General features: G+C 36.3%; 1 protein-coding gene across 18 annotated transcripts in view; it reads right to left on the reverse strand.

The window, feature by feature from the left end:
- The window catches only part of ROBO1 (roundabout guidance receptor 1), a 1,170,760-nt gene that overhangs the window by 61,612 nt on the left and 1,081,808 nt on the right, over positions 1–27,340 (reverse strand). For all 18 annotated transcript variants that reach the window (XM_017006982.2, XM_047448664.1, XM_047448661.1 and 15 more), the window contains 8 exons: positions 26,896–27,067; positions 11,246–11,451; positions 9,634–9,715; positions 9,284–9,452; positions 9,033–9,199; positions 3,143–3,264; positions 2,180–2,411; positions 836–957 (listed from right to left, as the gene is read on the reverse strand). In XM_017006982.2, the coding sequence (XP_016862471.1) occupies positions 836–957; positions 2,180–2,411; positions 3,143–3,264; positions 9,033–9,199; positions 9,284–9,452; positions 9,634–9,715; positions 11,246–11,451; positions 26,896–27,067 (1,272 nt within the window). The remainder of the gene's footprint in view (positions 1–835; positions 958–2,179; positions 2,412–3,142; positions 3,265–9,032; positions 9,200–9,283; positions 9,453–9,633; positions 9,716–11,245; positions 11,452–26,895; positions 27,068–27,340) is intronic.

Here is a 27,340-nt window from a genome sequence, read left to right on the forward strand (position 1 = left end):
CATTATACAGCTGAACCAAAGCCACAAACTGATTTTGTACCAGTCAATCAGGTTCTGAAAGGCATTTTATTATTTTAAATTGACCATGAAGTTACGTGAAATCCACCCTTTTGCATTTCTTCAGGAGAGAAATGAGTTCTGACTCTTAGGGGAAAATGCCTACATTCCACAATTTAGCTTGAGAGCTGAGACATCACCCATTTTAAATCCTTAAAAATCTTCTATAACATTCTATTTTTCTAGACTAACACATAGTATCCTGTCACTCCTCAGTATTGAGACAGCCTTGAAACTCTTAAGAAAACACTTAAAAGTACAGAGACTTTTACCTTTTAATGCCTCAATTATCTAGAAAATCTTACTTGAAATATCTTAAAACATCCACAGTGCACTTATGGCAGTCTTTTAAATACTTTAAAAAATACACTGTTCATATACACAAATTTCATAAAGAGGTTTCTCAATTTGTTTTTAAAAATCTTTTGAAAATAAAATAAACTTAAAATTCTGCTCAGGATACTTGGTTACCGTACAGATTAATTTGCTCCTCAGAAGAACATGTATAGTCTTATTTGGGCCTTAACTAAGGATGCACATCAGAATCGCCAAAAGATTCACCAAGATATATGTGCAAGGGCCCCTGTCAGACCACCTGAATCAGAATTTCAAAATCACTGAATAAACAAGAAAGCGTTTTAAAAATAATTTTACATGTTGCTATTTGGACCAGCAGATGGCGCCAAATATCCATAAACAAATACCAGCCTGCTTTTTCTTTATGAATGGTGGGGGCTGCCCATCAGGACATTAATATATATATATATTATACTCATACCTTATACTCTTGGACCATTCCATTTTGAGTGTCTTCTGGAGGTGGCTGCCAACTAACTAGAATTGCAGTTCCGTTTCCATCATTCTTGGATACAGTTACACCTTGGGGTGGGGCACTGGGTGCTATTAAATTGTTTTAAAAGGTAGGTTATTAGAATGTGCTAGAGAACACTGAAAGCAGGTAATTAATATCAAACCCAATAATAGATGTATTAATACTATATCAATATATGCTTTTTTTTTTTTTTTTTTTTGAGACGGAGGCTCGCTCTGTCATCTAGGCTGTAGTGCTGTGACATGATCTCGGCTCACTGCAACCTCCCCCTCCCGGGTTCAAGCGATTCTCCTGCCTCAGCCCCCTGAGTAGCTGGGATTACAGGCACCCACCACCATGCCCCACTAATTTTTGTATTTTTAATAGAGATGGGGTTTCACCGCCTTGGCCAGGCTGGTCTCGAACTCGTGACTTCAGGTGATCCGCCCGCCTCAGCCTCCTAAAGTGCTGGGGTTACAGGCGTGAGCCACTGTGCCCAGCTGCATATGTTTTAAAGATGTATCTCATCCAAGTCTGAATAGTCCCAAACTACCTAAGTTGTTCCTCACTCAATGCTAATTCACTGCCACGGTGAATTTTCCATAACCAAAGTTAAATACCTTGTTTCCACCAAACATCCCAGGACAATTCCTATTTCTTCTACCGTGTAACTCTAGTCTCATGTTCTCCCCCGAAATGTTCAAAAGTATGAAAATGAATATTAATCATTCATGATAATTACTTATACAGCCAAAGTGACAAAGACATGTTGGGAAAAATCCTGTTGTTAGTTAATGTAATCTTTTACCTTTATGTAAATATTGTTTAATTTCTAGGAATAGGGTGGTCAGCTATAGTGATTTGTCTAGAACTGAGGTGTTTTAAAAGAGATGAGATTTAGGAAGAAAATGCTAATCCCACGAAGTCCTGGGCAAATCAACACATTATTCAAATCATGGATCAAAATAAACAAATAGAAAATGCTGAATGGAAAATAAACCAAACGGAAAACAATTTCATTTTTAAATGTGAATTTTAGTTCTGAATAATTAAATTTCTATATGCCATTAAGTAATATAATGTTCACATTTACACATTTGAGGTAGGCCACTATTGAAGCAAGTCAACTATTATAGCATTTTGCTTTTCTAGTTTTCTAAATAAACAAATACTGTTAGCAAAATGTATGTTCAATATCAAGAAAGTTAGTAATTAATGCCACTATTAACATTATAACAATTTAAATTAAGCTAATAAAATTCTAACAAATATACTGCAATGCATGGAAATCAAACGCTTCATCATACTTGCCTTCTTCCAGGGTTTTGGCAAACTTGATTTCACTATCTGCTCCTTGAAATTCATTAAAAAAAGGGCGAGCCTTAATTTCATAGTTGACTCCCTTTCTGAGATCAGGGATTACCACACTGTTTTTGGCTGGCGTCCTCACTTCAAAAACTAACCAGTCTGATTCTCCGTGGTTGGCTCCAGATGGCCGATAGAGAATTTTATATCCTTGTATATACTGAGACTGTTGATCTACCTATTAAAAAGACAAGTAAAATGTAATTATTCATATTATTGTATTGGTTCATCAGAAAATAATAAAAATTAAACGTTATAAAATGCACAAAATTCTGTCTGGCTTCATCCCACATTCTTACACAAGAAATGTGTAAGAATTAGAAAGGAAAAAATAAAAATCATTATTTGTGGACAACATGAGTGTGCTCATAGAAAATCCAAAAGAATCTTCAGCTAAAACATTCAAATAAGTAGAATACTGAAAAAATTCCACTATCTTTTGATAAAAATTTCGGTGGCATTAACTTCTATGCTTCATGCAGAAATGTGAGGCCTGATGGCAGCTCTGACATTGCATGTAGGACATCCCTGGGTCAAGGGGATGAGAAGCTAAAATGTTTGATGATTTTCTGATTTTAAAAGCCTACTTAATACTACTTGGAAATATTTCTAAGTTTAAAAGATTCATGTAATAATGATCCTATCACAAGTTACATAACACAGTTAATACTATCTGTTTCTTTCCTGAGACAGGTCAAGTTCACTACTGCAGCACAATAGGAAAAAAATAGGCTCAAGATGCAATGTTTTTCTGTTTAAACCAAACTAATAGCTACTGTAATAAACAGTGCTTACACTATAAAGTTATCATTAATGTACAAGTAGGCAACAGATAGTTACATTTTATATGCATTGCAATGATCTCGCAGACGCTTATTAAAACTGAGATCAAATATTGTAACAACTCACTGTCCAGTGCACTTCGATGGAAGAGGAAGAAAGGACGGTGGGGTTGTGGAGGTGCAGAACAGCATTTCCCAGCTCTCTCTGGACCTGCTTGTGGTCCACCCCCTGACTTGTTGGTAGGACATCTACAACAAGTCAAGAAAACTGTGTCAGGGTCTGCACAACGTTACTGAACGGAATGAAAGCATGGTGAAACAAACTGTTCATTCATAGCAACTCTCAGTAAAGAAGAGTCCAAGCCAGGCTGTGATTCGGAAAAAAAAAAAAAAAGGAATAATTTAACCTTTTTATTAGGATCAGGAAAGTAAGAGGGGATAGAGAGAGTAGAGAGAACGCAGAGGACATATATTATAGAAAGGCAAAAAGAGCAGGAAGCAAAGACAACAATGGCAAATAACAACATTTAGTGGCTCCTCCTATCATGTAACGATCACTTTCCTGATGAAAATGAGGGCACTAGGGCAATTCCCTGAGTTTGTGAAAACCTTCTGTAGTGATCCTAACTATGCAAGACAGAAAAGAGACTGAAATTGTAGCAGAGTGGCTAAGCAATGGAAAGAAAGGAGATATGGTTAGTGAAAACCAAGAACAGAAAGAAGGCAGATACTTTACAGCTTTTAAGATGAACTTGGATATTTTCTCATGGAAGGTATATGGTAAGTTAGTGGCTACAATGGAGGTGATACAGATGCCAGCAAGGAAGTAAAATAAAATAAAGCTGATTAGACTCATGAGAAAAAAGTACTTAACGTTTATTTAATTGATGATCCTTTAGTTTAGTTATTGTATCATAGTAAAGAAGGTTTAATAAAGAGTTCTTAATCTCAAAAGCCCCAAAATTTCAGGAAGGAAACTAAGAACACAGTAAGAATGAAGTGGCTACTAATGTTAATTTTTTTTTATAAGCTTCTTAAAGTCTACACTCAAAAAAACATTTGCCCATTTCTGAAGCGGTTTTCTAAACACAGATGTTTTGCTTTGTTTATAATAGTAACAGGGAATACATGGGAGGAAGTGAAGAAAATGTTTTTTGGACTTCAGAATTCTCTTTCTCAAAGAATTGTATTTTGGCACCTACATTCCAGATGATTCCCCATTACATAAAAAAATTAAAATGAGAATTTTAGTTTAATGAATCATTAAATACCGTCAAACAATTGATCTTGGGTAGAAAGCAAAAGCAGGAATACTAAGAATGAGATCGCTAAGTATCTCGGATGAAGTCCAGGGAAGCTAGGCAAGTGGAAGAGATGACATCGAGATTGATATCAAACACTCTTACATATTGTTTGGTTGTTTTTATACTTAACCTAGAAATTAAGCTGATAAATAAGCAAGATGAAAAAAAAACAACTGGGATAATTCTGGCATCCCATACTTCATCTTCCTTTACCAATATTTTTGGTTAGGACCTGCCCTCAGGATAACTATTATCACAGCCTCTACGGAGTAAACACTTGATTGTCACCTTTCCATCTCTTCCTTACCCACTGGTCTCAATTGCTCCTACGACTCAAGCTGTCACCCATCTCTAGGATAAGAGTGAAATACTTGGAATGAAACAGACTTGGGTTTGCACCCCACCTCGGCAACTTAAAAACCACGTAACATTGGAACAATTTCTTAATCTCACTATTCTTCAGTTTCCTTATGCTTCAGATGGTGGCATCAAAGGCAGCTAATCCTGAGGGCTGTGGTAAAAGCTGTCTTGTGGTAAGACATAAAAAGTGCTTTTCCTCAGAGCAGGGATTGTGGACCCATAGTATATAGCATAGTGCCATATACATAGGTGTTGCTTAATAAACATAGGTTCAATTAAAATGTATTCATGTGTGGAAAACACACATATGATGTCAGTTTCCAAGTACTTCCCTCATACGTAAGCTCCCATCCTCACAAAATCATCCCCCTTTCAGAAAGTATCTTCAAATACAGAAATAACCACTTTATACATAACTGCCATGATCTGCATCCCAATCCCAAATTCCTCTGATTTGAGATAAACCTACCAGTCAGTTCCTTCATGAAAATTGCTAGATTCTCCCACCTAGTACCCATGACAGCAACAGCAGTCTATAACATTATAATAGAAATGTTCACAGCAGAGAGAAAAAGGGAAAGTGACACCTGATAATATAATTTTGAGAAGTTTATGAATTGATCCTGTTACTGTTTTTGTTCTCCTTCTCCTGAAAGAAACGTATGACAATGTAAAAGGTCTTTCTCAACATTCAGAATTAGACTTAAAGAAGACCTAATTGCTCCAGCCAAACTGTTTCCCCCAACGTTAAAACTTCGTATACACAACCTCAGAGGGGAGCCTATCCAGGCCCCACTCATTGATAATAACTGACATCATCTTAGGTATGATATGTATCTGTATAGATTCTTTTAAAACTAGGGCTCAAGAATGATACACAGACAGGGCACATGGGTGAGGAATCATAGTAACTAACAATGGTAACAACAGCCGCACCTCTGCCACAATGACCACCACCCCTAACTGCCAGGTGCTCATCTCATCTTCCTTGCATAATCAAATCTTGTCTTTGGGAAAGCACACTTTGATTACCACATAACAAGGCTCTAACTCCAACCATGACATAGGTCTACCTGACTCCTGTACTCGGAACCTGTGCCCTATATCTGTGCACCTTTAGCTTTTGACCCCAGCTCATTTCTAAGTATCTACACTTGGGGAAGATTCTTTTGCAACCACATTGCAGAAATGGTTAGAGAAATTATGCCTGCTCCCTTATGAATCACTTTCCAACAAGTCCTTCTTGAATTTCCTCACCCCTCATTTTTCTCCTTGCTGTGTTTGCCTTCTGGTCCCTCCAGTGAAATATTTTTGCAGGTGATTCCCCAGGTTCTTATTACAGTTATAATCCAAGGCTTCCAGCCTCAAATGAAGTCCAAGAATAGGCAAGATATGTGCCTCAATTTTACTTCTTCTCATGGGCCCTTTTCTGTTGCCTCGAGCTAGAATAAGCATAACTCTTCCATACGGCAGTCTCTTAAAATGTTAAGGAAAAGATGTCATGTCTGCTCTGATGTTATTATTTTCTGGCCTAATCATACCTAGATCCTTGAATGTCTTTTCATATGATGTGATTTTCAGCCTTTCATGCGGCCTCATCGACTATCCCTACTGTCCTCCTCTTAAAAGTCCATCTGAAAATGTAGTCTCCAGAACAAACACATTACTCCATTCATGAACTGAATAGTTCTAAGTAAAAAGAGAAAAATTACTTGATCCAGGCATAATTCTAGTGCCAGCTAAGACTACATTTGTTCTCTTGGCAACTGTATCCGTCAGTCGGTTCAGATGGGTGTTTTATTTTAAAGTCAGATCACTCCGAAAGCCCTGACACACTCACATATACTTCCCGTAAGCCTGCTGTCTTTAGTCTATCCTTTTACAGCTAATTTTTTAAACCCAAGTTCAAGTACCAGACTTTTTAATTTGCTCTATTAACTTTAATAGTTAGCACTCTCCCATCAGTCCAATCTGTTGAGTTATATTTAATTCTGATTCTCTTATTTGGCATACTAGCTGTCTTTCTCAGTTTTACGACATCCACAAATTTTATGAACTTCCTTTACTTTTAGTCCTGACACTAAAAGAAATACAAGTCCAATAACAGATTTTATGGGATAAAACAGAAAACAAATCTGAATCTTATATACTTATATATTGATTGGTTAATGTATTCTTTGTCCAATCCCGAGGAATGGGTATGTTTAGCCCCATTTTATAGGTGAGGAAACTCAGAAGGGCTGACTAGCTTGCTCAAGGTCACACAGCTAGTGGATTGAGGAGCTGAAATTTAAAAAAAAAAAGTCTTTGATTTCACAACTGTATGCCTGTTTCTCTATATTTCCAGTATTCCAGTTAACAAGGATTCATTATACTTAGAGTGATGTGGTTTGGCTGTGTCCTCACCCAAATCTCATCTTGAACTGTAGTTCTCCTAATCCCCATGTGTCACGGGAGGGTCTCGGTAGGAGGTAACTGAATCATGGAGTAGTTACCCCGTGCTGCTGTTCTCGTGATAGTGAGTGAGTTCTCAGGAGACCCGATGGTTTTATAAGGGGCTTTGCTCACTTTTGCTCGGCACCTCTTGCTGCCACCATGTGAACCGGGACGTGTTTCTTTCCCCTTCTGCCATGATTGTAAGTTTTCTGAGGCTTCCCCAGCCATGCTGAACTGTGAGTCAATTAAACCTCTTTCCTTTATAAACTGCCCAGTCTCGGGGAAGTTCTTTATTAGCAGCGTGAGAAGAGACTAATACATTGTTCCACTAGCTATGCATATGCAAAGGCAAATTGACAGAAATGTTAAAAAGACTAAATGAATGTTCAGACAGAATGCTAACTTACTGCTCACTTACAAATGAGGTTACATATTCCAGAATCATGCATGTGAGTACAGGACAAAACGGTGTTAAGCTCTAGTCATCAAAACCTTTCAGTTAGAGTCTACTGGCTGGAGACCACTGTACTGGGGACAAAAGTTTAAATTCATTTTATAGCTATCATTGGGTCTACATTCTTTACAAATGTGTATCTAATATCAAAAACCTCAGACTGCCTTAAGGCAGGCTGCAAGTATAGTAAAGCTCCTGGAGAGGTGATTCATAATAGCAAATATGAGCTATGGGTGTGTTACATTCACACAAGAGACAAACGTGGGCATGTTCTACAACTTGGTGTGCTTTTTCTGCAAATTCTGAAACAAAAAGTGCTTCCAAAAAGACTGTTTCTGTACATACTTGAAGTAACAAAACAGCAACATGGCTGGCAGACCCCTCTCCCAAACCAGCAGCAAAGGACTTTAAGTCTCAGTCATCTTGTGTATAACTTGTTTCTATTAAAATAACCAAGTCTATTTTTTTTTCTTTTTTCCTTTGTTCCCTTAAGATAGAAACACTATCCCTCTGTATGTTGAGAAAATAATTTTATAGTTCGAATCACTCCCCTCTAGAATTACCTTTCTTTACTAATATAAAAACAAGCACATTTTATTTACAATGACGTGATTTTTTTCCAAAAATAAAAGGTATCCAGATATCTCTCATATTTATGTGATCTCAAGAGAGTATTATTTGATTAGGGTTGTAATCTAAAAATTCATCCAGAAGGTTGTGAGTACTGAACTTATAAATAAATAAAATTTGGTTAATTTTAAATACAATTATAATATGATTAAGATTGTACACCTACATGTTACCATATTTAAAATTCAGGAAATTGAATAGAATACACAAATATTCACATATTTTTAAAATTTATGGGTACTAACAGGTGTATATATTTATGGGTACATGAGGTATTTTGATATAGGCATACAGGGCATAATAATCACATCAGGGTAAATGGGGTATCTATCACCTCAATCATTTATCCTTTGTTTGTGTTACAAACATTCCAGTTATACTTTATTTAAAAATGTACAATAAATTATTATTGACTGCAGTCACCTTGTTGCTATCTAATACTAGATCTTATTCATTAGATCTAACTATTCTTTTTTTTGTACCCGTTAACCATCCCCACCCTCCCCACAGCCACCCTACTACCCTTCCCAGCCTCTGGTAACCATCATTCTACTTTCCATCTCCTCACGTAATATTTTTGTCTTGATATATTTGTAATTTTATGAGAAACAGTTCTCTTTGTTAATCCATCTTATGTTGGTATGCTTAGTCCAGAAAATAATAAAGTTTGTAGACATTGTGTTTGTATATTAAAAATTAATTAAGCAACTTGGGCAACTTGAACAACACACTGTAAATGTACAATTCTAGCATGTAGCACAAGTGATTTGTCAGTGCAATTATAACATCTAAGGATAAGTAGGTGTCACAGGTTTAAGTAAATCAATATTTACCTTGTGTTTTCACTGGATCTGATATTTGGCTTGGATCACTAATTCCATATGCATTAGCTGCCCTCACAAGGAAAAGGTAAATTGCATTAGGTTTGAGTCCTTTAATGGCAGATGTTTCTGTTTTCACATTCTCTGCTACGGTCTGCCAGCTGCTACCAGATGCATGGCTAAGGATAGACACACAGGTTAGAACATGCGTATTTAATGGAGAATCAAAAAAGAACAACTAGGAAGCATCTCCTTCACTCTACCTGAAGGCTTCTATAATATAAGATGTTGGAGTTGCTCCTGAATTCAAATTTGGTTGCCACGATAATGTGACTGTATTTCTGCTGACATCTGTCACTTCAGGTTTTGATGGGGCACTAGGGATTAAATTTGGGTCAGTAGGTCTTGGAGGCTGAACTGGAACTCCAAATTCTAAAAAGCAGGAAAAAGGCCAAAATAAAAGATGTTTACACATACACAGATAAGCGGATAAATGCAGATAACATATTCATACACCTACTCAGGGAAGAGGACATTTACTTCATCAATATCCCAGTAAGTAAACAACTGCATTTTAAGCTTCACTTTAAGGGAAACACACCATTTACTTTACCTTGAACTTCAATGTAAGCACTCCATGTTGCTTCACCACTGGGGGTTGATGCAATGCAGGTGTACCGACCAGTATCACCCAGCTGAGAAGGCAGACAAAAAATAAATATTTGGAAAAATCAAGAACTCACTGGGCTGGAAAAGCAATTACAGGTTTGTATATGATCCATGAATATGGATAACTGCATTAAAATTCACTAACCAGAAACTTCCCCTTAGTTGAATATATTTTTATTGAATGTGAAGGAAAATATTACATCAATATAGAAAAAAAGATTTTATATGATTGTTCTAATGGTATAATAAGAAATATTTAATTGCATTAGCATATATTATCATCAGTCTCAGGGACAATAATTCCTAAGGTAAGGCATACAATTCTTCAAATTTAGAGCGTTAATATTTATGGCTAAGATATATCTTTATGTTTAATAAGTTATATAATAAGGCTGATAAAGTTTAACCAATGCCTATTCTTGCTATTTCATATTTTACTTATATATTTAACTATATGGATATATGAGATCAACAGAAAAAGGATAGGCATCATAGAATTTTTTTCTTAAACTACTGACTTTTCCGGGTTTTAAAACTTGTAACTTAAGGCAGTTTAAGAAGTACAAAGCCAAACTCAAGCTGGAACGAACACTCTCGCTCCCTTTTAAAAACTGAATGTCAGAAGGCAAACATAGGTTACATGTTCAACTTTGAAATCAGCAGCAGGATAATAAACCCATCTACTTCTGCTCAAGCTAATAACTATCTTCAAGTAACATTTGATAAAGAAAGAATGTTGTCATCTTGCCCTGGCAATTGCAGGAACCAAGTCACAACAGTCACAAAGCAGCACAACATATTAACTGTTGTGGCACTTAAAGTGAACTGTGATGCTGATCCAATACTCCAAAGGAACCACCCACACTAGGAGATAAAGCAACTGAAATTCATGTTTATTGCTGTCAGGACTATTCTTTCATATGCCTCAGGAGCTCGTCTGATCTTGACATAAAAAAAGAAGAAAAATCAAAACAATAAAGTCCTGAAAGAGCAGGCATGGGATATGATGCCCTGTGAAAGTAAATCCTTAAATGGTTCCTACAGACCTGTGGGCTTTCCATCATTGAGCATTCTGATTTGAATTGTACACTCGGTGTGTACATTGCTTTATGGCTTTTGTTTGCATGTATAGTTTTGCCATTGCAAAATGCTGAAACAAACACTTACAATAGAAGAACTATCTAAATATATTGCACATAAAATGATACAGGTAAATATCTTAAAAGATGCTTTATGGAAGGACTGCTTCGTACCACTACTTTGAAGATATTTATTCTCTCACAAACCCTCATTTACTTTCCTCGGTAGGTTCTTAGAAATCCTTTCTTCTCCTCCATACAACCTTAAATTACCTGCCATGGACTAAATTATGAGTTAAATCATCTCAAACATATACAATGAAATATCTGAAAAAAATAAAACATCAAATTAAAAATATATTACTACTCTTCATTTAACACTTCATTAATTGCAAAGTTAGAAATTTCAATGCCAGTTGTTGGAGGCAGAAACAAAGTGAAACAAAACAAGAAACGCAAGGTGCCATTCCAAGTTACCTTAGCATATCGGATCTGCAGTACTCCATTCTCCAACTGTTTGATTCGAGAGTCTTGGGTTGAAACGAGGACTCCATCCTTTCTCCACAGAATGGTGGGCACTGGACTGCCTGTGGCCACACAGCTGAGGACGAAAGTGCCATCCACGGCTACAGTCTGATTCACAGGACCTTGTCGAATAACTGGGGGAGGCCGATCTGCAATCACTGCCAGAAGAAACAACAGGAAATAGATTTCTGCAACTGGAAGCAATTTTCTAATCATCCAAGCAACAGCAGTTGTTCTAGGCTTTGAAACAAACTAAAGATAATTAAACAAGTAATTAAAGTAGCAGACATGCATTATTCAAAATGCATTTATATGATGCACTGATTCAGAATACTAAAATGAGACACAATGTGCTACTTTCAAATGACCAGCCACTCACTGAGCTGGCTGCATCGTCAAGAGGCCTATTTAAAGAGTTCGGGAATTAGGATTGTGGATGGTGAAGTAGATACAGAGACGTGATCATGGAATACTGTACTTTTTAAACTCAAAAACATGAAAAAACACAACATAACAAAAAGACCATTCCTCTCAAGGAAACATATGAGATAAATTTTAATAAATGAAGCAAAGCCAAATTGACATTTCATAACTTGTACAACAGAAAAAAAGAAACAAGGTACCATACCAGCATGTTTAACAATTTTGGATCCAAAAAAGTGCATTGGATTTCGTAATTTAATAAATCAGTGTGATTGAGTTCCCTGTGTCTTTTTATCTTGTAATTCTTTCTATTACAATATACATGGGAGAAAATTACCCAACTGTAATGAATTCAAAGAAATTGGAAAATTGCCCAAATACATTGTTGTTTGGCTGATCCAAAGAGACAAGTCAAAATGATGTTCTAACTTGGCAAACACCATACTTCTCTATTGGGATTAATGGGATTGGGAATGTGCCTCTGCTAACTCCGTTACCTTAGATAATAGTTATAACATACTACGGAAAATAACAACGAGAGGCAATTTTATTATGTGTAAATACAATTAACCCTATGATTACATGAAAAAAATCTAAAATCTAAAAACTTTATCTGACATGAAGTCTTTTTTAGGGGAAAACATAGAACAACTGTGTTGGAACTAGAATAAATCCTACATTGAAGAGGTGTTCCCATCCCCTGACTTAGGCAATTTATATGAAACTCTATAGTTTTTTTTTAATGACTTAAAAACCAAATTTCAGAAATTTTCTTTAAATATTCAACTTGAAAATTCTGGATGTTAATGAAAAATTTTTAAAAGACACAAATGTACAAAGAAAGATTCTAAGTTGCCTGGTTAAAGAAAAGTGGTTGTCAGAGTAACTAAATTTTGGAAGCAATAATTTTCAAAGCTGGATCTGTCATGTTCCAAGCTTTATGCACCAAAGATTTTCACAAGCTGGAGTCACACTTCAATTTGCTCCTCATTTGTCATGCAATAAATATTAGTTTTGTGCATGCAAACTAAAAAAAAAAAAAGAAAAGATAAACAGGAAAGCAATGGAGTGAAATCAGCAGCTGTGCATTTCCACTCTACTCTTCCAATTCTCTTCTTTGTCTTGGTTACCAGGGTGAAATTTGCAATATCAAGGGGTGAATTAGAAGGCTAGAGTTTGAAACTTGGCAGAAGGAATATTCTTTATAACTGATTATAATTAAGTCCAGTAGAAGAATGGTTTAAATTTGGTAGTCTTATCATATTTAGAAACAATCCAATATCTGGGAATATATTCAATGTTCTCTATCTTTATGGTTCTTTGATATTTGTATTTTATTTAGTGTCATCCACACCTCCCCATTCCATCCCAAACCAGTTATTGATGCCATTTTTGTGGTATAATTTACAATGTATACTTAACAAAAATAAAGCAATAAAAGAAAAAGATCAGCTCTAGCATCTGCCATATGTCTTTGGGCAAGTTCCTTAAATTCTCTAAGCCTCAGTTTTGTATTGTTTTTAAATCCATCAACTAAGCATAATAATATTTTTTTCTAAATAGCTCAGGCAGGGTATTGTTATGCATATTTAAATGGAACAGATAAGGGAGTGCTTGGCTAATTGCAAAAGGCTAGACATATTATGTACTGTAGTATCACTAGTGTCCTCTTTGGTAAAAACAACAACAACAACAAAAAAAACTATTATGTAAATCAGAGATGAAAGATTTGGCCGGGCACTGGGGCTCACGCCTGTAATCCTGCACTTTGGGTGGCCAAGTAAGGTGGATTGCTTAAGCCTAAGAGTTCAAAACCCACCTGGGTAACATGGCAAAACCCCATCTCCACAAAAATAAAAATAAAAATAAAAATAAATTAGCCGGCCATGGTGGTGTGCACCTGTAGTCCCAGCAACTTGACAGACTGAGGTGGGAGGATCACATGAGCCCAGGAGGTTAGGTCTGCAGTGGTGGACTTTGATCAGGCCACCGCACTCCAGCCTGGGTGACAGAGTGAGACCCTGTCTCAAAAAAAAAAAAAAAAAAAAGAGAAATATTTAAGGGTTTATTAAAGCAATTTGATGTTTCCAGGTAGAGAAATGAAAGTTTTTGATGTCATGAAGTAGAATAAAATACTCGTAAAATGTTTACACTTACAGACACCAAAGAATGTACTGCATTTATGAGTCAAATCTTAATTTAGAAGGAGACAAACCTTATATTCAGGTCTAGGATCTTCTGTTGGAATTATTAGAATGAATTATCCAGAAATAAAATAGGAAGTGTAAGAATCAGAAATGTTTAACAAAGTGATTAAATGCACGGACTTTGGAGTCAGAAAATGTTAGCACCATACAACAGAAATGTTCCATATCTACAACAGAAATGTTCCATATCTACTCTCTCCAATACAGTAGCCAACAGCACCAAGTGACTACTGAACATGTAAGTGTAGCTAGAGTAATTGGGGAATTGGATATGCAATTGTATTTAATTTTAAGTAATTTAAATTCAAATTTAAATAGCCCCATATGGTAAGTAGCTACCTTATTGGAGGGTGCAAACATGTCAGTTCTGCTACTTATCATTGTAAGTTGGGTACACATCTTCACATTCACTGCCTCAGTTTCTTCACTGGTAAAATGAGATATGGTTAGATTTGAAATTGTTCATGTGTGAAAAGTTTCTAGTATAGTGCCTGGCCCTAGGTAAGCTTATCCTATAACTTGTTATTAGTCACTGTAGCTCATTATTGTCAGTATAAAAATAATAGTGGTGGAGGTAGTGATGGTATAAGCAGTGTAACAGGTATAACAGGTGCTGTAATATATATTACAGCAGGGTTACACCACCTGTTATAAATATATATATATATATTACAGCAAGGTTACACTACCTGTTATAAAAATATATATATAATATAAATATATAAAATATATAAAATAATATATAATATATATAAATATATATATATTACAGCTAGGTTACATATATTTTATATATATATATATATATATATATATATATATATATATATATACACACATATATTACAGCAGGGTTATAAAAGTTTAGCTATCTTTTCCCCACATTTAGTGAAAGACTTCAAAACCCGTCCAAAATAAGGGTATATAATCAGAATGTTGTAATTTGTCACCTCAAAAATAGCGATCATGAAGTCTATGTTAATATACATAAATATATTTAGGAAATAATTTTAAGAGAAAAAGAACAGAATATACACACATTGATTAGTTCACGTACAAAAAGTCACATTATACACCAATAAACATCGCAGATAAAGAGCATAATTGTCATCCATTTACAAACTGCAAATATTGTATCTTGGAAATTATAAATTTGGCTATAAAATATTATTATTCCATTTTAGAAATCAGGGAACTGAAACTCTAGAAGTTCAAGTGACTTGTCCAAATCAAGTAGTAACTGGCAAATCTTTTTTCTGTATAAAATATAACACTCTTTGCACTATGTATCTATAAATTTTGTGAGATGAATACGAATGATTTTAAATTTTATACATTATGTAGTAATCATTAACTTTGTTTTCTTACCTTCTGATATTATAGTAAAGAGAAGAAAGATGTTCAGTTAAATAGAAGACATGAATTTGTATGTTTCTAAGTCAAATGCTATTAGGGATAGGTCACAGCTACAGTCAACACAACATTTTAAAGGCAGCTGCTACTTCTGTGCTTCATGTTTGATTCTGCCTTTGTCTTTGTTCTGTTTGCAAACAGTAAAGAAGGTCAAGAAGCTAAAGACGAATAGTATCCCCAAAGTACTCTGCCTACTAGCCATCCTCTGGACTTGCTAATGTATAAATACCGGTATTTCCAGCACTTGCAATAATTCTAGTTTTACCCATGAAGAATGAGACCACAGTGTTAAATTGTTTTCACAATATCAATAAGCTCCAAAATAAAGCAAACAAAACTTAAAAAACAGTGCCAAAACAGCAAACACGAAATCACCTTAAAACGCCCAGAGTTTGCAGGGTGAAACAGGACATTTAGTGTTGAACTGGCTAGTAGGGAAGAATCCCAAATTCACAGATATTTAGAGATTTTGTTTTTGTTTTTTATAGTTTAATAAAAGGTCTATGCGTGATCTAGTCTCACAAATACAAGCAATTTGTGATAACGTCATGTCAGTTGGCACATGAAAACCTTTGCTTTAAATTATAATTATAAAAATTGGAGATATTTGAGACTACTTTAGCATAGGTTTCTAAAATCTTTTTTTATGTATACCTATATATAAGTTGCTTTACAAAGTTGCAATTATTAATGTGTGTATCACTCTATGTTCTAATGTCTCTATATATTGGTTATAGTAGTCATTATTGAATTCACTATATGGCTTTCACAATCATTATTTAATGGCTGTAATGTACTTAAGACATTATAAAAATATTTTAGGTCATACTAGCTTATTGGAGCCAGTACATGTATAATACGTATCATATACAGAGGTAAGAGTTTGAGCTTTTGAGAGAGACAATCCTAGTGCTCAATACTCACTTAACCAAAAGCTAGTTCTTTTTCCTTTTTTCTTTGTTTCATCCACTCATTAAAAAAAAAAAAAATCAGCTGGCAGCCAAGATGGCCGAATAGGAACAGCTCCAGTCTACAGCTCCCAGCGTGAGCGACGCAGAAGATGGGTGATTTCTGCATTTCTATCTGAGGTACCGGGTTCATCTCACTAGGGAGTGCCAGATAGAGGGCGCCGGTCAGTGGGTGGAGCACACAGTTCGCGAGCCGAAGCAGGGCGAGGCATTGCCTCACTCGGGAAGCGCAAGGGGTCAGGGAGTTCCCTTTCCTAGTCAAAGAAAGGGGTGACAGACGGCACCTGGAAAATCGGGTCACTCCCACCCTAATACTGTGCTTTTCCAATGGGCTTAAAAAACGGCGCACCAGGAGATTATATCCCGCACTTGGCTCGGAGGGTCCTACACCCACGGAGTCTCGCTAATTGTTAGCACAGCAGTCTGAGATCAAACTGCAAGGCGGCAGCGAGGCTGGGGGAGGGGGGCCTGCCATTGCCGAGTTAGTTGTTTGATTAGGTAAACAAAGCCACCTGGAAGCTCGAACTGGGTGGAGCCCACCACAGCTCAAGGAGGCCTGCCTGCCTCTGTAGGCTCCACCTCTGGGGGCAGGGCATAGACAAACAAAAAGACAGCAGTAACCTCTGCAGACTTAAATGTACCTGTCTGACAGCTTTGAAGAGAGCAGTGGTTCTCCCAGCACGCAGCTGGAGATCTGAGAAAGGGCAGACTGCCTCCTCAAGTGGGTCCCTGACCCCTGACCCCCGAGCAGCCTAACTGGGAGGCACCCCCAAGTAGGGGCAGACTGACACCTCACAGGGCCGGGTACTCCTCTGAGACAAAACTTCCAGAGGAACAATCAGACAGCAGCATTCGAGGTTCATGAAAATCCACTGTTCTGCAGCCACCGCTGCTGGTACCCAGGCAAACAGGGTCTGGAGTGGACCTCTAGCAAACTCCAACAGACCTGCAGCTGAGGGTCCTGTCTGTTAGAAGGAAAACTAACAAACAGAAAGGACATCCACACCAAAAACCCATCTATACATCACCATCATCAAAGACCAAAAGTAGATAAAACCAGAAAGATGGGGAAAAAACAGAGCAGAAAAACTGGAAACTCTAAAAAGCAGAGCACCTCTCCTCCTCCAAAGGAACGCAGTTCCTCACCAGCAACGGAACAAAGCTGGATGGAGAATGACTTTGACGAGTTGAGAGAAGAAGGCTTCAGACGATCAAACTACTCCGAGCTACACAAGGAAATTCAAACCCAAGGCAAAGAAGTTAAAAACTTTAAAAAAATTTAGACGAATGTATAACTAGAATAACCAATACAGAGAAGTGCCTAAAGGAGCTGATGGAGCTGAAAGCCAAAGCTCGAGAACTACGTGAAGAATGCAGAAGCCTCAGGAGCCGATGCGATCAACTGGAAGAAAGGGTATCAGTGATGGAAGATGAAATGAATGAAATGAAGTGAGAAGGGAAGTTTAGAGAAAAAAGAATAAAAAGAAATGAACAAAGCCTCCAAGAAATATGGGACTATGTGAAAAGACCAAATCTACGTCTGATTGGTGTACCTGAAAGTGACGGGGAGAATGGAACCAAGTTGAAAAACACTCTGCAGGATATTATCCAGGAGAACTTCCCCAATCTGGCATGGCAGGCCAACATTCAGATTCAGGAAATACAGAGAACGCCACAAATATACTCCTCGAGAAGAGCAACTCCAAGACACATAATTGTCAGATTCACCAAAGTTGAAATGAAGGAAAAAATGTTAAGGGCAGCCAGAGAGAAAGGTCAGGTTACCCACAAAGGGAAGACCATCAGACTAACAGCGGATCTCTCGGCAGAAACCCTACAAGCCAGAAGAGAGTGGGGGCCAATATTCAACATTCTTAAAGAAAAGAATTTTCAACCCACAATTTCATATCCAGCCAAACTAAGCTTCATAAGTGAAGGAGTAATAAAATACTTTAGACAAGCAAATGCTGAGAGATTTTGTCACCACCAGGCCTGCCCTAAAAGAGCTCCTGAAGGAAGTACTAAACGTGGAAAGGAACAACCAGTACCAGCCACTGCAAAAACATGCCAAATTGTAAAGACCATCAAGGCTAGGAAGAAACTGCATCAACCAATGAGCAAAATAACCATCTAACATCATAATGACAAGATCAAATTCACACATAACAATATTAACTTTAAATGTAAATGGACTAAATGCTCCAATTAAAAGACACAGACTGGCAAATTGGATAAAGAGTCAACACCCATCAGTGTGCTGTATTCAGGAAACCCATCTCACATGCAGAGACACACACAGGCTCAAAATAAAAGGATGGAGGAAGATCTACCAAGCTAATGGAAAACAAAAAAAGGCAGGGGTTGCAATCCTAGTCTCTGATAAAACAGACTTTAAACCAACAAAGATCAAAAGAGACAAAGAAGGCCATTACATAATGGTAAAGGGATCAATTCAACAAGAGGAGCTAACTATCCTAAATATATATGCACCCAATACAGGAGCACCCAGATTCATAAAGCAAGTCCTGAGTGACCTACAAAGAGACTTAGACTCCCACACAATAATAATGGGCGACTTTAACACCCCACTGTCAACATTAGACAGATCGACAAGACAGAAAGTTAACAAGCATACCCAGGAATTGAACTCAGCTCTGCACCAAGCGGACCTAATAGACATCTACAGAACTCTCCACCCCAAATCAACAGAATATACATTTTTTTCAGCACCACACCACACCTATTCCAAAATTGACCACGTAGTTGGAAGTAAAGCTCTCCTCAGCAAATGTAAAAGAACAGAAATTATAACAAACTGTCTCTCAGACCACAGTGCAATCAAACTAGAACTCAGGATTAAGAAACTCACTCAAAACCGCTCAACTACATGGAAACTGAACAACCTGCTCCTGAATGACTACTGGGTGCATAACGAAATGAAGGCAGACATAAAGATGTTCTTTGAAACCAATGAGAACAAAGACACAACATACCAGAATCTCTGGGACACATTCAAAGCAGTGTGTAGAGGGAAATTTATAGCACTAAATGCCCACAAGAGAAAGCAGGAAAGATCCAAAATTGACACCCTAACATCACAATTAAAAGAACTAGAAAAGCAAGAGCAAACACATTCAAAAGCTAGCAGAAGGCAAGAAATAACTAAAATCAGAGCAGAACTGAAGGAAATAGAGACACAAAAAACCCTTCAAAAAATTAATGAAACCAAGAGCTGGTTTTTTGAAAGGATCAACAAAATTGATAGACAGCTAGCAAGACTAATAAAGAGGAAAAGAGAGAAGAATCAAATGGATGCAATAAAAAATGATAAAGGGGATATCACCACCAATCCCACAGAAATACAAACTACTATCAGAGAATACTACAAACACCTCTACGCAAATAAACTAGAAAATCTAGAAGAAATGGATAAATTCCTCGACACATACACTCTCCCAAGACTAAACCAGGAAGAAGTTGACTCTCTGAATAGACCAATAACAGGATCTGAAATTGTGGCAATAATCAATAGCTTACCAACCAAAAAGAGTCCAGGACCAGATGGATTCACAGCCGAATTCTACCAGAGGTACAAGGACGAACTGATACCATTCCTTCTGAAACTATTCCAAACAATAGAAAGAGAGGGAATCCTCCCTAACTCATTTTATGAGGCCAGCATCATCCTGATACCAAAGCCGGGCAGAGACACAACCAAAAAAGAGAATTTTAGACCAATATCCTTGATGAACATTGATGCAAAAATCCTCAATAAAATACTGGCAAACCGAATCCAGTAGCACATCAAAAAGCTTATCCACCATGATCAAGCGGGCTTCATCCCTGGGATGCAAGGCTGGTTCAATATATGCAAATCAATAAATGTAATCCAGCATATAAACAGAACCAAAGACAAAAACCACATGACTATCTCAATAGATGCAGAAAAGACCTTTGACAAAATTCAACAACACTTCATGCTAAAAACTCTCAATAAATTAGGTATTGATGGGACGTATCTCAAAATAATAAGAGCTATCTATGACAAACCCACAGCCAATATCATACTGAATGGGCAAAAACTGGAAGCATTCCCTTTGAAAACTGGCACAAGACAGGGATGCCCTCTCTCACCACTCCTATTCAACCTAGTGTTGGAAGTTCTGGCCAGGGCAATTAGGCAGGAGAAGGAAATAAAGGGTATTCAATTAGGAAAAGAGGAAGTCAAATTGTCCCTGTTTGCAGATGACATGATTGTATATCTACAAAAACCCCATTGTCTCAGCCCAAAATCTCCTTAAGCTGATAAGCAACTTCAGCAAAGTCTCAGGATACAAAATCAATGTACAAAAATCACAAGCATTCTTATACACCAATAACAGACAAACACAGAGCCAAATCATGAGTGAACTCCCATTCACAATTGCTTCAAAGAGAATAAAATACCTAGGAATCCAACTTACAAGGGATGTGAAGGACCTCTTCAAGGAGAACTACAAACCACTCACTGCTCAATGAAATAAAAGAAGATACAAACAAATGGAAGAACGTTCCATGCTCATGGGTAGGAAGAATCAATATCGTGAAAATGGCCATACTGCCCAAGGTAATTTATAGATTCAATGCCATCCCCATCAAGCTACCAATGACTTTCCTCACAGAATTGGAAAAAACTACTTTAAAGTTCATATGGAACCAAAAAAGAGCCCGCATCGCCAAGTCAATCCTAAGCCAAAAGAACAAAGCTGGAGGCATCACGCTACCTGACTTCAAACTATACTACAAGGCTACAGTAACCAAAACAGCATGGTACTGGTACCAAAACAGAGATATAGATCAATGGAACAGAACACAAGCCTCAGAAATAACGCCGCATATCTACAACTATCTGATCTTTGACAAACCTGACAAAAACAAGCAATGGGGAAAGGATTCCCTATTTAATAAACGGTGCTGGGAAAACTGGCTAGTCATATGTAGAAAGCTGAAGCTGGATCCCTTCCTTACACCTTATACAAAAATTAATCCAAGATGGATTAAAGACTTAAATGTTAGACCTAAAATCATAAAAACCCTAGAAGAAAACCTAGGCATTACCATTCAGGACATAGGCATGGGCAAGGACTTCATGTCTAAAACACCAAAAGCAATGGCAACAAAAGTCAAAATTGACAAATGGGATCTAATTGAACTAAAGAGCTTCTGCACAGCAAAAGAAACTACCATCAGAGTGAACAGGCAACCTACAAAATGGGAGAAAATTTTCACAACCTACTCATCTGACAAAGGGCTAATATCCGGAATCTACAATGAACTCCAACAAATTTACAAGAAAAAAACAAACAACCCCATCAAAAAGTGGGCGAAGGACATGAACAGACACTTCTCAAAAGAAGACATTTATGCAGCCAAACAACACATGAAAAAATGCTCACCATCACTGGCCATCAGAGAAATGCAAATCAAAACCACAATGAGATACCATCTCACACCAGTTAGAATGGCGATCATTAAAAAGTCAGGAAACAACAGGTGCTGGAGAGGATGTGGAGAAATAGGAACACTTTTCCACTGTTGGTGGGACTGTAAACTAGTTCAACCATTGTGGAAGTCAGTGTGGCGATTCCTCAGGGATCTAGAACTAGAAATACCATTTGACCCAGCCATCCCATTACTGGGTATATAACCAAAGGACTATAAATCATGCTGCTATAAAGACACATGCACACGTGTGTTTATTGCAGCACTATTCACAATAGCAAAGACTTGGAACCAACCCAAATGTCCAACAATGATAGACTGGATTAAGAAAATGTGGCACATACACACCATGGAATACTATGCAGCCATAAAAAATGATGAGTTCATGTCCTTTGTAGGGACATGGATGAAATTGGAAATCATCATTCTCAGTAAACTATCGCAAGGACAAAAAACCAAACACCGCATGTTCTCACTCACAGGTGGGAATTGAACAATGAGAACACATGGACACAGGAAGGGGAACATCACACTCTGGGGACTGTTGTGGGGTGGGGGGAGTGGGGAGGGATAGCATTAGGAGATATACCTAATGCTAAATGAGGAGTTAATGGGTGCAGCACAGCAGCATGGCACATGTATACATATGTAACTAACCTGCACATTGTGCACATGTACCCTAAAACTTAAAGTATAATAATAAAAAAAAAATCTATGGAGCATTTGCCACATGAGGCATTCTGGTTGGATAGTAGCAAGCATTTAATTTGACTAGAGAGACATAGGTCCTGCCTTCATGGAACTTAATGTCTAACGAAGAACATAGGAAAATAAACAGAACACAAAAACGTATAGGATGCAATCTATGTTTATACTGCAGGGGTTGGAGTATAGAACCTATATTTGAAGAGTTAGGGAATGCTTCTTGAAGGAAATGAAGCTTCACGTTGGTGGAAACAACGTGCAGAAGACTTAAGACGGAGAAGCAGCCAGGCGCGGTGGCTCACGCCTGTAATCCCAGCACTTTGGGAGGCCGAGGCGGGTGGATCACGAGGTCAGGAGATCAAGACCATCCTGGCTAACACGGTGAAACCCGTCTCTACTAAAAATACAAAAATTAGTCGGGCGTGGTGGCGGGAGCCTGCAGTCCCAGCTACTCGAGAGGCTGAGGCAGGAGAATGGCCTGAACCTGGGAGGCGGAGCTTACAGTGAGCTGAGATCGCACCACTGCACTCCAGCCTCGGCGACTCAGTCTCAAAATAAAAAAGACGGAGAAGCATGGCAAGCACAATGATTAGGGCACGTGAGCAACACAGTATTCAGAGCTGAACCTGCAGTGGAGGCAGATAATGAATGGTAAAGCACGTTAAGGAATATACACTTTATCCTGAGAACATTAGAAAAGCAAATAATGAAACTGATGTTTTAGCAAATTCCTCCAGAACTTCTTGAAATTCAAAGATATCTACAAAAGTCCTAGCCAACATTGTATCTGGTGGTAAAATATTAAATTTTTCCCCCCTGAAGTTAGGATCAAGAAAAGTATGCCCATTACTGCCAGTTCTGCTCACTATATTGGAGGTCACAGGCAATGTAGGACAAGTAGAAGAAATAAAATGTATAAATACTGAAGGAAAGACATAAAACTTGAAATATATATATATTGAAAAAAAGACATAAATATTGAAAGACATAAAACTGTTTTTATGTGCACCTGACACACTTTGTACATTTATGTCATGTAAAAAATATATTACATATATCAAAAAATATATATACACACAAATATATATATTTTGATATGACTGTGTGTATATGTATATATATGTATATATATGACTGTGTATATATGTGTATATGTATATATGTATATATGACTGTGTATATATGTGTATATATGTATATATAGTATATATGTGTGTATATGTGTATATACACATATATACAGAGTCATGTCAAAAAATTTATATTTTTTGTTTATATATATTTGATATATAATAAATATTTTTTAATGTGACTGTGTATATATACGTATATATACACGTATATATACACACAGTAATATCAAAAAATATATATATACACAGTCACATAAAAATCATATATATTATATATAATATATAGGAATAAAATTATAATAATATAATTTTATTGTTGAATTGTATGAGCCAAGTGCTTGAATGTACAGTTGACTTTTTTATATTAACCTTGTGTCCAGCAACTTTGCTAAATTCACTCATTTTTAATAGTTTGTAGGTAGATTATTTTGAAATTTTTATGTACAAAATGTTTCAGCTGCACATAAAAACAGTTTTATGTCTTTCTTTCAATATTTATACATTTTATTTCTTTTACTTGTCCTACATTGCCTGTGACCTCCAATATAGTGAGCAGAATTGGCAATAATGGACATATTTTTCTTGATCCTAACTTCAGGGGGAAATAATTTAATATTTTACCACCAGATACAATGTTGGCTAGGAGTTTTGTAGATACACACACACACACACACCGTCACATCAAAATCATGAAACACCTAGGTATAAATGTACCAAAATATGTGCAAAGCCTTTAGTCTTGAAACTACAAACCATTGCTGAGAGAAATTAAAGACCTAAATAATTGAGAGATACATGTGGGATATTTACTGTTTCCCTGAATTGACTCAGATTAAGATGTTAATTCTTAAGTTATTCAACAATTTAAATAAAATCAAAATTAAATATTCAGATTTTTTTGTTTGTTTAGGGAGTGGGTGTGTACATGTGAAATTTTCACAAGTTTATTTTAAAATTTGTAAGAATATGTTGATGATCTTCAATAGCAAACTCAAAACAAGGAAAGAAAGGTGGAGACTTATACCACCAGTTTTTAAGACTTAGTATAAGCTACAATAATTAACACATATGGGCCGGGCGTGGTAGCTCATACCTATAATCCTAGCATTTTGGGTGGCATAAAATAGAATAAATAGACCAGAAATAAGCCCACAAATCTATGTTTATTGGAATTGTAATAAGATGCCACTGCAATTCAGTGGAGAAAGGATAATCTTTCCAATAAATTATGCTGGAATTATTAGTTTTCATATGGGGGAAATGAAAAGAATTTTGACTTTGAACTCATACCATACACAAAAATTAACTCAAGGTAGATAAAAAAAATTTGCATCACAAAATATCAAAGGTGTAAATAATAAAGCTTCTAGAAGAAGACATAGAAGAATATTTTCAAGGCCTCAAGGTAGGACAGAAGAGTAAACACACTAATCATAAAAAAAAAATGGTTTTCAGCAAAATTAATTACTTAATCCCTAAAACCATCATTAAGAGAATGACCAGGAAGAAATATTTCCAATATACATATCTGATGAAGACTTGTATTTCAAATACATGGGAAAACAAAAAGAAATTAGTATGTATGTCCACTAAAGGCAAACCAAGATAACTGAGTGCACCTGCCCAACAATGGACATGTACAGGAATAATGAGCTTTACTAACAAAAATCCAAAGCTGAAAATACTCCATCAATATGAGAATACATAAATAAATTGTGGTCTATTTATGAGATGGAATACTACACAGCAACAAAAAAGAACCTAAGTGTATTTTACTGACATTATTTTGAGGCAAAAATATACACAAAAGTCTATCTACTGTATGATTTCATTTAGCTGGATTTTAAGAATAGATAAAAGGAATCAATGATGATAAAAGTCAGAAAAGTTATTATCTCTGCTAGTGAGAGGCTTGTTGACTAGAAGAGAGTCAATGGAAGCCTTCTATGGTCTTGGAAATGTTCCATATCTTGATCGGAGTGGTCACGACATGAATAAATTCATCAAGCTGCATTAGTTTACTTACTTCACGGCATGCGTATTATACTTCAGTTTACGTAATCGGGAAAATAAGAGTGGTCTAGAGAAACAGTATTCTAGCAACAGTAAGAAAATGTAATTTGGGGAGAAGACCAGAAACAGGATGGAATTAGTAGGCTGTTACAATTTCACACTACAGATGACTAGCTCTGGGAGTTGATGAAGACAACTCGATGGATTAAAAAGATTATTGAATAGATACAGAGATAAAGAAAGATGAGGAGTCAAAGATGACTCCACAGATTCTAATTTAGAAAGCAACTGCTATTATATTGATTATTTGAGTCATTATCAGACGTTTTAAAAGATCAACAATACTGAATATATAGAGTAAGCATCTTTTATTCCTGCTTCTCTTCTTTTATTCGTGTTCCATTTTCTTCCCTGAGAGACAGGTTGTTTCTTTCTTTAAGTGCTCTTTCATCTACTTTTTGGAATTGATAGTGAAAATATTATTCCAATCACTACAATAAATTTAGCTTCAGAAGTAAGAAATCCCTTGCCACTGTCATGGCTTTGGTTCTATTTTTAATTTGAAAAATTCTTGTAACACTTTCTTGATTGCACACACATATACTATACATGTATATATATTTATATGTATATGAAATAAGATATGAAAGAAAAAATACATATAAATACAGAGAATAAAACATATTTATATGTGTTTTTTTCTTTTTCTTTCATCTTCTTCTCAAATTGTCACTACTGTCCATCTTACAGTTTGGAGATTTTGTTCAGCACTGTGTCCTTACAATAGGTTTGGCACTAATTGAGCATGTTTAGGGGAGTTGACAGAATGAAATCACATTGAAGAAAACTTGTTCATTATCATAAGTTGTGAGCTGTTAGGTTTAGGCTTAGGACCTAAAGATTTATCTTATGTACTAAATTATAGAGGAAAGAGAAGAGATGGCAATTTACACTAAGATATTACAAAATATTTTTTGTTTTTCCAAAACATAGATACAGTCCTATGTGCAGCCATTTAGTATAAACTTCTCCTTAGATAATTGCTATGCTTTTATGAATCTGATTGAATGCTACAAATTTATAATACATTTAGGTTAAAATAAGAATAATTTTGAACTTATTCTATCAACACCCTTTTAGGTTTTACACTAAAATAGCCATAAAAAGGTATAAAGTTGGAAATAAATATATCTACTGGCACCCTCTCTGGATCCTAAGTCAAACTTGGACATTTTGAAATAAAATGTTTTACACTTTACCATCTGTAACTTCCAAATATGCCTTTGTGATGATGCTTCCAGCAACATTTAAAGTCTGGCAGATGTAATAACCAACATCAGATCGCTGGACATTAGTAATTGTGAGGTCGCCAGTCTGGGAGACTGAAAATCGGCTGGATGACTGTGGTGGTTGATATGAGAAAAGTAGATTCTAGAACCCAGAAATTGGGATGGAGGAAAATAAAAATAGGTTAATTGTTAGGTTCCAATATTTTGGCACTTATGCATTTACATGTAAAAACATACATATAAAAGTATTCATACACATATGCATATGTATCCGTCTATATACACACACAAAAATGAGCTAAGTATTCTCCCATCACATGCCCACATATATACATGTCCATGCATGTAAATATCTACATATGTACACATATACATATACAAGGTTTAATAATCTAACCTCAAATAGGGTCATTTG

The sequence above is a fragment of the Homo sapiens genome, chromosome 3 (assembly GCF_000001405.40).
Source record: "Homo sapiens chromosome 3, GRCh38.p14 Primary Assembly".
NCBI lineage: Eukaryota > Metazoa > Chordata > Mammalia > Primates > Hominidae > Homo > Homo sapiens.